Source organism: Homo sapiens, chromosome 14, assembly GCF_000001405.40.
Source record: "Homo sapiens chromosome 14, GRCh38.p14 Primary Assembly".
NCBI classification, from domain to species: Eukaryota; Metazoa; Chordata; class Mammalia; order Primates; family Hominidae; genus Homo; species Homo sapiens.
In genome coordinates, this window is record NC_000014.9 from 100,249,108 (window position 1) to 100,262,215 (window position 13,108).

Genomic DNA, 13,108 nt, shown 5'->3' on the forward strand with positions numbered 1-13,108 from the left:
TTTTTTTTTTTTTTTTTTTTTTTTTTTTGGGAGACAGAGTTTTGCTCTGTTGCCCAGGCTGGAGTTCAGTGGCACGATCTCGGCTCACCTGCAACCTTCACCTCCTGGGTTCAAGCGATTCTCCTGCCTCAGCCTCCTGAGTAACTGGGATTACAGGCTTGCACTACTACACCCAGCTAATTTTTGTACTTTTAGTAGAGATGGGGTTGCACCATGTTGGCCAGGCTGGTCTTGAACTCCTGACCTCAAGTGATCTGCCTGCCTCAGCCTCCAAAGTTCTGGGATTACAGGCGTGAGACACCGTGCCTGGCTTTCTTGTGTAAATTAATTCCCCTTCTCAAATAGAAGATCTGTGAGTCAGGGAAAGGGGCTGCCATTGCTGTGCAAGAAGCTGTTCTGTTGGTGTCAGGACCTGTCTTTTCAGGAGAGTATTGAACTTTGAATATTGAGTGAATGAATGGCTGGAATTTGTGCTGTAAGGCAGAATCAGGGCTTATACCAAAATACTATTTTGGTCTATTCCTGTATAGGTGGAAAAGAAGTATTAGGGATAGAGAGAAGGTGCAGAAGGTTCTGTTTTAGAAGCAGCATGGGCTTTTAGAGTCAATTCTCAATTCAAATCTCAGATTTGCTACTTACCGTTTTTTTTTTTGTTTGTTTTTGTTTTTGTTTTTGTTTTTTTTTGAGACAGAGTCTTGCTCTGTCGCCCAGACTGGAGTGCAGTGGCGTGATCTCAGCTCACTGCAACCTCCGCCTCCCAGGTTCAAGCAATTCTCCTACTTCAGGTTCCTGAGTAGCTGAGACTGCAGGTGCCTGCCACCACACCTAGCTAATTTTGTATTTTTAGTAGAGATGGGGTTTCTGCATGTTGGTCAGGCTGGTCTCGAACTCCCGACCTCAGGTGATCTGTCCGCTTCAGCCTTCCAAAGTGCTGGGATTACAGGCGTGAGCCACTGCACCCGGCCTACTTACTGCTCTTTAGATACATTGCTTGTCATTTCTGAGGTCAGTTTCTTCAGCCAAAAACATAGGGTTTAATACCTTAAAGATATTGTTTGGATTGAGAAATGTGACAAGTTGCCAGAATGAGACAGGTACTTAATAAAGGATAGTATCCTTTCTTAAGGTCTTTATTAGTGGGAAAAACTGGGAAACAACCTATGTCTGATTTTTGCCTGTTGCTAAGCAGTGAATCGCAAATGTTTAGCTCTCCCCTGTTTCAGTGAAAGGTTGGGTGATGGCAGCGGTGACTCTTTTTTGTCTTTTTTTGCCAGAAGTAACCTGGAGTGGCCTAAGATAGAAGGTGTGGAGAAACAAAATCTAGCCAAACATATACATGCATACATACATAGGTAAATATCTCAGTTGGTGAAGGTGAATATAGAAAATCGGGATCACAGGAAAAATTACCATCAACCCTAATGAGGTTACTGGCAGTCAAAATTAAAAAAAAAGGAACTTATACTACCTTCATCTGATATTAATTCTGAGGAAATAAAATGTTTCTTAGGAATGAATTCCTTTGTGTATGAAGGGGACCACTGAGTGGTAGTACTGGCATTTTTCAGCCAATGTGACAAATTTCACAGTGCTGTCTTAGAGATGCCTAAAAAATGTATTAAGGAACGTGGCTGGGTATGGTGCACTTTTGGAGACTGAGGTGGGAGGATCTGAGGCCAGGAGTTTGAGACCAACCTGGGCAACATAGTGAGACCTTGTCTCCACAGAAAATTAAAAAAAAAAAAAAAAAGGCCAGGCATGGTGGCATGTGCTTTTGTAGCCCCAGCTACCCAGGAGGCTGACGTGGGAGAATCACCTGAGCCCAGGAGGTCAAGGCTGCAGTGAGCTCCACTCCAGCCTGGATGACATAATGAGATTCTGTCTCAAATGAAAAGAGAGAGAGAGAAATAATATATAAGGCCTTTGATTTTTCTGATTAACATATTGACTAACTGGTTGACTGGTTGACTGAATAATGACTCCCAATATAGCCAGATCCTAATTCTTGGAACCTGTGGGTGTTAACCTTATTTGCAAGTGTGATTAAACCAGGGCTCTTGGAATAGGGAGAGTATCCTGGTTTATCCAGGTGGGTACCAAATGTAATCACACAAGTGTCCTTGTATTCACAGGAAGGCAGTGGGAGATTGACTGCCAAAGAGGAAGTAGGAGAGGTGTGAGAGGTTGGAGTCCAGTGAAGAGAAGGGGTCAAGGAATGTAGGCAGCCTTCAGAAGCTAGAATATGTGAGGGACCAGATTCTCCACTAAAGCTGCCAGAAGGAACCCACACAACAACTTTATAGCTCTGAAACTGATTCTCACTGCTGGCCTCTAGAACTATAAGAGAATAAATTCCTGTTGTTTCAAACCACCAAATTGGTGGTAGTTTGTTACAGTGGTAATAGGAAACTAATACATGTGCTAGCATCCCCTGTATAGCTTCATTCTGCAGGAACTTGGCAAGTCCCTGTTATGTGCAAGGCACAAGACCTACTGTTCCCCCTTAAACCTAGGAGAGGGGGGAAGTGGAATAAAGGGGCTTTTTTTGCACACTACTCAATTTCCCAGACATGATGATTGGCATTTAACATGTTACCTTGTTTTAGCCTTATAAGATCAGTGGTATCCTTCCTCCCTCCCTCCCTTTGTCCCTTCCTCCCCTCCCCTCCCTTTGCTTCTCTTTCTTCTCTTTATTTCTTTGTAGAGGCAGGGTTTTCTCTTTGTTGCTCAGGCTGGTCTCTAATTCCTGGCCTCAAGAGATCCTCCTGCCTCGGCCTCCCAAAGTGCTGGGATTACAGGTGTGAACTCCTGTGCCTGGCCTCATTGTTTAATAAATGAGGAAACCAGGCGAGGTTAAGAGTAGAGGCTGGAGTGACAGGAATGAATGGCTTCTTGAAAGGAAGAGATCTTAATTTGGGTTTTGGAGAGTGGACTGGGCTTAGGTAGGTCATGAGAGGAAGGCAAGAGGGTAAATTGTATTGAGTACCTTTTACTAGACACTGAGAAAACCACTTTGCTTGGAGCGTGGAGGGCAGGTGAGACTCCATCTTTTTACTTCTCTGGACTTGTAGAGTGCTTCTAGCCTTTCCATTTATTTAGTTCCTTAATTATATCTTTTTGACTGGAAATTGGAGTCTACAAACTCAGTCTTATGCTTTGCTCCTCAAACTAGACTTGGAGTGATTATTGCTTTGGTAACATAGAAGAACACCGAGCAGCTGGGAGATTGGGATGGGCCAGCGGCTTATTTATACAATACCTTTAACCTTCTGAATAGTACCATATGCAGAAATAGAAACTTTTAAATGTGAGTTAATTGTCCTTCCACATATATGACTAGTGTTGGCTAGATTTTGTTTTTCCACACATTCTATCTTAGGCCAAGTTAGTCTTGGTCTAGTTGTTTTAGGTCATTGCATTTAGCCAGAGTGTGAGTGAGCACTGTAGTCACCTAATCGACAGTTTTGGGTAGAAGTTCCTAACATGATGGTTGCCCACATCACCTTACCCCCTTTGAATCAATGACTGTATTCTCAGCTTTTTCCAAATAGGAATTCTGAGATTTGGCTTTAATTGGCCTTGCCCACTTGTGTTCTGGTAATTAGCAATTGTAAACTTAAGTTATATTGGTTAAAGAAACCCATTGCAGGCCAGGCATGGTGGCTCACACCTCTAACCCCAGGGATTTGGGAGGCCAAGGCAGGAGGATCACTTGAGCCCAGGAGTTCAAGACTAGCCTGGGCAACATAGTGAGACCCCATCTCTACCAGGAAAAAAAAAATCAACTGGGTGTGGTGGTGTGGTGCACCTGTGGTCTCAACTACTGGTGGAGTGGGGTTGCTGGAGGATCACTTGAGCTAGGGAGGTTGAGGCTGCATTGAGCAGTGATAGTGCCACTGCACTCCAGCCTGGACAACAGAGTGAGACCCTGTCTCAAAGGAAAAGAAAGAAAGAAACCCATAGAAACTTCTAATGGGGTTAACTATGTCCTGTGAAACAATAAAAGATCCTGTCCTCAAGGGAAACTCCAGCAGGGAATAGACATACAACAATTTTTTAATGACCTATAGTGGGTCCAGACAATTTTTAAAGCAGATTTAGATACTTTGCTTCCTGAACATGTTTTACCTAGATGTACATTTGATATTACCCCATCGCTAGTCAATAGAAATCAGTAACATTCATAGCATAATTTGACATTCAAAGTGGATCAGTAAACACTCTCCTCTATGTAGCAAATCTTTTTCAGTAGTAATTATGAAGGGAATAGTATTTTTAGTAGCAATGGAGGTTTGCCATGTTAGCCAGGCTAGTCTTTTTTATTTTTTGAGACAGAGTCTCGCTCTGTTGCCCAGCCTGGAGTGCAGTGGCGTGATCTCGGCTCACTGCAACCTCTGCGTCTCAGGTTCAAGCTATTCTCCCACCTCAGCCACCCGAATAGCAGGGATTACAGGTATGTGCCACCATGCCCAGCTAATTTTTGTATTTTTAGTATTGATGGAGTTTCACCTTAACCTCAGGTGACCAGCCTGCCTCAGCCTCCCAAAGTGCTGGGATTATAGGCGTGAGCCAGTGTACCCAGCCAACCAGGGTAATCTTGAACTCCTGGCCTCGGGTGATCCGCCCACCTCAGCCTCCCAAAGTACTGGGATTCAGGCATGAGCCACTGCGCTGGGCCAGGGTTAATACTTTTTAACAAAGATTTTTATTATTATTATTTTTTATAATTTTCTTTTTTTGAGATGGAGTCTCACTGTTGTTGGCTCAGGGTGGAGTGCAATGGCATGATCTCAGCTCACTGCAACCTCTGCCTCCTGGGTTCTAGCAGTTCTCCTGCCTTGCCTTCCCAGTAGCTGAGATTACAGGTGCCCGCTACCACACCTATAATCTTTTTTTTTATATATTTTTGCTAGAGGTGGGGTTTCACCATGTTGGCCAGGCTGGTCTCGAACTCCTGACCTCAGGTGATCCACCCGCCTCGGCCTCTCAAAGTGCTGGGATTATAGGCGTGAGCCACCACACATGGCCAAGATATTTTTTTGAACAAAGAAAGAAACATATGTACATATGGCCTGTAATGTAATAAATAAAAATTACTAGCTTCTTTTACAGCATCATAAATTTCTATTCTATTTGGTAAAAACTTCTGATTTTCTTTTTGCAAAAATTAGCAAAATGGCCAAATGATAGCAAATATTGACATTATTTAATGTATTGCTTTATTGTGTGTCCAGCTTGTGAAAATGAGGCAGGTCAAATATTGTCCTTTTGATTTCTTCTGGCAACAAAAGCCAGTGTCTTTTGTCATTTCTCTAGAAGTCTTTTTGCAGCTTTTTCCTATATGTTTCTTTTCTCTTTTCTTTTCTTTTCGACGGAGTCTTACTCTGTCGCCCAGGCTGGAGTGCAGTGGTGCAATTTCAGCTTACTGCAAACTCTACCTCCCAGGTTCAAGCGGTTCTTTTGCCTCAGTCTCCCGAGTGGCTGGGATTAAAGGCACACGCCACCACACCTGCTAAATTTTGTATTTTTAGTCAAGATGGATTTTTGCCATGTTGGCCGGGCTGGTCTCGAACTCCTGACCTTAGGTGATCAGCCCACCTTGGCCTCCCAAAATGCTAAGATTACAGGTGCGAGCCACCATGCCTAGCCTATTTTATTTATTTATTTATTTTTTTTTTTTTTTGAGTCGAAGTCTCACAGTGTCGCCCGGGCTAGAGTGCAGTGGTGTGATCTTGGCTCACTGCAACCTCCGCCTCCTGGGTTCAAGCAATTCTCCTGCCTCAGCCTCCCAAGTTAGCTGGGATTACAAGCGCCCGCCACCACGCCCAGCTAATTTTTTTTTTTTTTTTTTTTTTTTTTTTTGGTATTTTTAGTAGTGACGGGATTTCACTATGTTGGCCAGGCTGGTCTCAAACTACTGACCTCGTGATCCACCCACCTTGGCCTCCCAAAGTGCTAGGATTACAGATGTGAGCCACTGTGCCCAGCCAGCCTATTTTCTTATATTTTCTTGTTCACAATTTCTGTGCAGTGGTCTTTGGAGAGTTCTAGTTATCTTCCTTGTAGGAAACACTGTTTTTTAAGGAATAAGTCATAAATGTGATAACATGTGTCTTAAATCTGTATCTTACGAGAATGTACAATAACCACAAAAATTATTTCAAACTTAGACCAACAAAATATGTTTTATTTTAAGGCAAGAAACTGATATTATTTGAAAGTGTGGGAGGGCCGGGCACGGTGGCTCATGCCTGTAATCCCAGCAGTTTGGGAGGCTGAGGTGGGCGGATCACCTGAGATCAGGAGTTAGAGACCAGCCTGGCCAACATGGTGAAACCCCATCTCTGCTAAAAATACAAAAAATAGCTGAGCGTGGTGGTGTGCCCCTGTGATCCCAGCTACTTGGAAGGCTGAGGCAGGAGAATCACTTGAACCAGGGAGGCAGAGGTTGCGGTGAGCCAACATTGCACCACTGCACTCCAACCTGGGGGGGACAGAGCGAGACTCCATCTCAGGAAAAATAAATAAATAAATAAGTGTGGAATGTGGTAATGATCAAGAGTACACTTATTTTCAGCCAGTTTTATTATGGTTTTAAAATTATGTACAGACCATGCAGCCTCTCTTGTCTGTGCTTAGGGCAAACTGCTTTTGCTGTATGCCACTTGGCACTTGATACGTCACTGAGTACAGTTTTCTTTAGACAGAGCTAGTTGTCTCCCTACTTGTGGACATCTCTCTTCAGTCTCCTTTGCAAAGTCTTCCTCATTCTCTTAATATTAGAATTGTTCAGGTTTTGATTATAATCCTTCTCCTCTCTGACTGTATTCTTTTTCAGTAGATAATCTTACAATGTCTTTCTGGGGCTTTCAATGCAGTCTGAGTCAGGCATGGTATTGTGGGCCTGTAGTCCCACCTACTTGGGAGGTTGCAGCAGGAGGGTCACTTGAGTCCAGGAGTTTGAGGCTGCAATGAGCTATGATCATGCAGACTATGATCACTCTAGTCTGGTCAACAGAGCCAGACCCTGTCACAAAAAAAAAAAAACATCTATATGCCAGTGATTCTCACAGATTACGATATAATTCTCTCTGACCTAGGTTTCTTATCCCCTATACATGCATATTTAGTTGCCTTTTTGAGGTCTGCCCATTAGATTTTGCACAGATACCTCAAACCAAAGAGGAACTCTAAATCTTCTGCACATCATCTCTTTCACACTCTTGTCCTCCATCTCATCAAATGACACCACCATCTTCTAAAAATTAGAAGCAAGAAACTCAGGTGGCATACTTGGCATCCCTGTTCCTCCCCAACCCATCTGATTAATTATCTAGCCATGTTTATTTCTCCATCCATTAACAGATGGACAAAATGGTATGTATGTACAGAATATTATTCAGCCATGAAGAGGAATGGAATGTTGTTATATGTTACAACAGGTGGGTCTTAAAAACATTATGCTTAGTGAAATAAACCAGGCATGGATGGCAAATACTGTATGATTCAACTGGTATGAGGTACCTGAAATAGGCAAATTCATAGAGACAGAAAGTAGAATTGAGGTTAGCAGGTGCTGAGGGGAAGTGAAAGTTCTTGCATAATGGGTATAGAGTTTTTTGCGGGAATGAAGAAAATATTTTGGGTATAGATAGTGGTGATGGTTACACATTCTGAATGTATTAAATGGCACTGAACTGTACACTTACATATGGTTAAAATGAGAAGTATTATGGTAATGTATATTTTACCACAATTTTTTTTTTTTTTACGAAAACCGTGGAAATATAGAGGTTGGATTTGGCCAACTGGCTGTACTAGTTGATTCCTGATATAGGTCATAAAGTCTTGTCAGCGTCTACTTTAGGCTTCTTTCATATATTTTTTTGGTTTCTGATTCTGAATTATTTTAGTGACCATCCTGAGGGTTCTTGATATTCTTCAGTGTTGGTAGTGTATGCCACTTGCACTTGATATGTCGCTAAGTTCTCTTTAGACAGAGCTAGTTGTCTCCCTACCTGTGGATATACCTCTTCAGTCTCCTTTGCAAAGTATTCCTCAGTCTTTCAATATTAGAATTGCTCAGATTTGGGTTCTGAGCCCCACTCAAGAAGTATTTCCTCATTTGACTTCCCTCACTAGACTGTAAGTTCCTTGAGAGCAGATACTTTGTTTCTAGCTTTTATTCCCAGTGCCCAGAACAATGCCAGGCACATAGGAGGCCCTCAATATGTGTAGAACTAATGATAATAATCATTTAGCCTGTGATTCCTTTATGCCATGAGTTCAGTCTTCTGTCTCAGCACACTTGAGACATGCCCTCTGGGGTAGACTGCATGTTTGTGTCTCTCCCAGATTCATGTGTTGAAATCTTAACCCCCAATGTGATGGTATTAGAGGGTAGGTCCTTTGGAAGGTAATTTAGGTCTGAGGGTAGAACCCTAATGCATGGGATTAGTGCCCTATAAAAGAGACTCCAGAGTGCTAGCCCTCTGGTTCTCTCTATGCTATGTGACAAGACAGTGTGAAGATGGCTATCTGCAAACCAGGGAGTAGGTCCTCACCAAGAACACCACCATGCTGGCACCTTGATCTTGGACTTCTAGCTTCCGAACTGTGGGAAATAAATGTTGCCTTAAGCCACCTAATCTATATTTTTGTTGTAGCAGCCCAAATGGATTAAGACACTTTCATCAGTAGCTTATTCAGAGTAGCACTGATTCTCAACATTGCTATCATTCTGTATCAGAAATATAAAACATGGCCCACACCTGTAATCCCAGCACTTTGGTAGGCCAAGGCGGATTGCTTCAGCCCAGGAGTTCGAAACCAGCCTAGGTAACATAGTGAGACCACATCTCTACAAAAAATAAAATTAGCTGGGCATGGTGGTGCCCGTCTGTGGTCCCAGCTACATGGGAGGCTGAGGTGGGAGGATTGCTTGAACCTTGGAGGTCAAGGCTGCAGTGAGCCATGATTGCTCCACTGCACTCCAGCCTGGACAATAGAGGGAGACTGTGTCAAAAAAAAAAGAAAAGAAAGAAATATAAAACATGAGGACAAATAGCTCCCTTGGCCACCAAAGTATTTCTGTACCCCGTGAAAGTTTTGATGTAGAAGTAGATGTGCCAGGCTAGAGGGATGGGCACGTGCAGGGGGTGTCAGTAGGAGCAGGCAGCCCTGGGAACAGGAATGAAATTAAAGAATTTGAGTCCTGGGTTTGTGTCTTAGGGTCAGTAACCATATTTCCTGTCTCTTTTTCGGAATACATCCAGCTATTTTTTTCCTAGGCCCCACCTAGGAATAGATAGTCTTCATCTGTGAATGGATAACCTTGGGTATATTATCACTAGTGTTCTTTCTGAACAAGAGGCAGCAGAGCTTAACAGTTAAGCATATAAATCTTAGGGGTAGACTTCATGAGTTTTTTGTATTTTTAGTAGAGACGGGGTTTCACCGTGGTCTCGATCATCCTGACCTCGTGATCCGCCCGCCTCGGCTTCCCAAAGTGCTGGGATTACAGGCGTGAGCCACCACGCCCGGCCCTCATGAGTTTACATCAGCCACTTCCTAGCCAGTTAACCCTGAGCAGGTTACTTAACCTCTCTGTGCCTGCGCATTCTCCTCAGTAAAATGAAAAAAATCTGTGATTCCTTGTAATGATGTATAATTATATTTCCTAGAATGAAGAGTGGTGGAATTAGAGTCATGTAAAGTTTACAATTGTATTCAGTGCTTTTCATTGCTGAGAGTGATTGAACTTGATAATGACCACTTGAATCAAATGGAACCTACGTTCTATCTTGATCTTCCTCTCATACTCCAGCTTTGCTCTGAGGTCAGAAAGCTGTGTGCTAAGCAGTTATATGTAGTTTTTGGTGGTTGTAGATTTCGTTTTGGTTTGGTTGTTGGTCTTGATTTTTAACACTGGTGGAAAGGTAATTCAAGGTAAAAGTTGAAGCCAGTTTCACTTCTGAAATATTTTATTTTACTACTTTTGGTGAGACAGACAATTTGAGAAGCAAAAACTTGCAGTTAGCCTTGAAAATTTCGGAGTACCTATTTCTAATTTAGGCATCAAAGGTAGAAGAAGACTTGTTTTTGGCCTCTGGGCACTTCTGCTCTACCTTAAGAGGCAAGACCCGCCAGGCACTGTGGCTCCCAGCACTTTGGGAGGCCAAGGCGGGTGGATCACGAGGTCAAGAGATCGAGACCATCCTGGCCAACGTGGTGAAACCCTGTTTCTACTAAAAATACAAACGATTAGCTGGGCATGGTGGTGTGTGCCTGTAGTCCCAGCTAATCGGGAGGTGGAGGCAGGAGAATCACTTGAACCTGGGAGGCGGAGGTTGCAGTGAGCTGAGATTGTGCCACTGCACTCTAGCCTGGGTGACAGAGCGAGACTCCGTCTCAAAAAAAAAAAAGAGGCAAGACCAACAAAAATTCAAACTGGAATGATTGAGTCTGTCAGGGAATAATCTAGGAGCTCAAAGAAAAGGTAGGAATCAAGACTGAACTGATAAAATGAACATGCCCTCAAATTCTCTAGAATTTGAGCTAGACTTTGGAGGGGAGGCTGGGTTGAGAAGAGAGGTGGTAAGAGAGAGCAAAACTCACACTTACTGAAACCTCCTGCCATGCACTTGTGAATTTAACCCATGAGAAAAGCTGGTTAGAATATAGAAGGCATGTGCAAAGGAGAAATAGAAGGTAAGACCAGGTATGTTGTTAAAGTGGGACCAGACAGCATTGGACCCAGAATGCCAGATTGAAATAATTTACAGCAGCACTGAAGGGATTATACCATGGGTGAGAATATATCAGCTATATTTTCTGTGCCAGTTTATCCTTTGCAGTATCACTAGAGAAAATAATTGTGAAAATCAATTAAGAAACTACTACAGTCATTTAGGTTTGAGATAATAGGAAATAAGTTGATGGCAGTGGATCAAAGAGGGAAGACTGGTGTTTTTTGTTTGTTTGTTTGTTTGTTTTGAGACGGGGTCTTGCTCTGTTGCCCAGGGTGGAGTGCAATCTCGGCTCACTGCAACCTCCACTTCCCGGGTTTAAGCAATTCTCTTGCCGCAGCCTCCCGAGTAGCTGGGCTTACAGGCGCCCGCCACCACACCTGGCTAATTTTTGTATTTTTAGTAGAGTTGGGGTTTCATCATGTTGGCCAGGCTGGTCTTGAACTCCCAAAATGCTGGGATTACAGGCATGAGCCACTGTGGCCTGGCCGAGAGATCTTTTAAAGGGGATCAATAGGATTTGGTGTCTGAGATATGGGAAATGAATTATATGGGGTCTGAATATATGAATATATATATATATATATATATACACACACACACACATATATGTATTTTTTTTTTTTTTCTTTTTTGAGACAGAGTCTCGCTCTGTCACCCAGGCTGGAGTACAGTGGCACAATCTCTGCTCACTGCAAGCTCTGCCTCCCAGGTTCAAGCGATTCTCCTGCCTCAGCCTCCTGAGTAGCCAGGACTACAGGTGCCCGCCACCACGCCTGGCTAATTTTTTGTATTTTAGTAGAGACAGGGTATCATTGTATTAGCCAGGATGGTCTCGATCTCCTGACCTCGTGATCCACCTGCCTCGGCCTCCCAAAGTGCTGGGATTACAGGTGTGAGCCACCGTGCCTGGTCCTTTTTTTTTTTTTTTTTTTTTTTTTTTTTTTTTTTTTTTGGAGGCAGAGTCTTGCTCTAGACTGAAGTTGCAGTGACGCAGTGACGTGGTCACGGCTCACTACAGCCTCGACCTCCTGGGCTCAAGTGATTGTCTTGCCTCAGCTTCCCAAGTAGCTGGGACTACAGGCATGCACCCCATGCCTGGCTAATTTTAATTTTTTTGTGGAGATGGGGTCTCTCCCTTTATTGCCCAGGCTGGTCTAGGAACTTCTGGGCTTAAGTGATCCTCCTGTCTTGATCTCCCAGAGTGCTGGGATTACAGGCATGAGCCACTGCACCTGGCCTATTTTTTGTAACCTGTTGGATATGAGATGATAGTAAGACATACAAATAGAGATGTCGTACATTTCTTTGAACATATGCTTATTTATTTTTATTTTTTGCTTTGTTTTTTTGAGACAGACTCTCACTCTGTCACTCAGGCTGGAGGGCATTGGCATGATCTCAGCTCACTGCAAACTCTGCCTCCCAGTTCAAGCAATTCTCCTGCCTCAGCCTCCTGAGTAGCTGGTATTACAGGCATGCACCACCATGCCTGGCTAATTTTTGTATTTTTAAGTAGAGATGGGGTTTCGCCGTGTTGGCCAGGCTGGTCTCAAACTCCTGATTGCAAGCAATCCACCGCCTCGGCCTTCCAAAGTGCTGGGATTATAGGCATGAACCACTGGTGCTGGGCCGAACATATATTTGTTGAGGGCCAGCTATGTGCAGATTTTGAACAAGGCTCTGTAAATGCACGGGATCAAAACTGACCAACCTCCATGTCCATATGCAGCTTACAGTCTAGTGGGAGGATGACAAAAATCACACAGCTATAATTACAAATTTTAGTCAATGGAAATTGCATGAATAAACACCTTGAGGTTAGGGTAGATGGGCCATGATACAACTGGGGAGCTAAAGGGCCAAAATAGAGGAGTGAAGAGGGAGGAGGCTGGAGAGGTAGCAAGAGACTAGCTAAGAGGTGAAGGCTATGAAATCAGATTTGAATCAGCACCACTGAATTGGTAGTTGCCAGGAAATGTGTGTGGTGTGAGTGAAAAGCCGAAATCTAGGCTGGGTGTGGTGGCTCATGCCTGTAATACGAGGACTTTAGGAGGCCAAGGCAGGAGGATCGCTTGAGTGCATGTGTTCCAGACCAGCCTGGGTAACATTGTGAGACCCTGTCTCTACAATAAATAAAAATAATTAGCTGGGTGTGGTGGCACCTGCCTGTAGTCCCAGCTACTCAGGAGGCTGAGGTGGGGGGATTGCTTGAGCCCAGGAGTTTGAGGCTGAATGAGCCGTGATTGTGATTGGGCCACTGCACCACTGCACTCCAGCCTGGGTGACAGAGTGAGACCGTTCTCCAAAAAAAAAAAAGGGAGAGGGGAGAACAAATTGAGCTGGTGGCTATAAATCAC

At 43.6% G+C, this 13,108-nt stretch overlaps 1 protein-coding gene across 1 annotated transcript in view; it reads left to right on the forward strand.

The window, feature by feature from the left end:
- YY1 (YY1 transcription factor) overlaps positions 1-13,108 on the forward strand; it is a 43,645-nt gene that overhangs the window by 9,964 nt on the left and 20,573 nt on the right. The gene's annotated exons all lie outside the window — the stretch shown is intronic.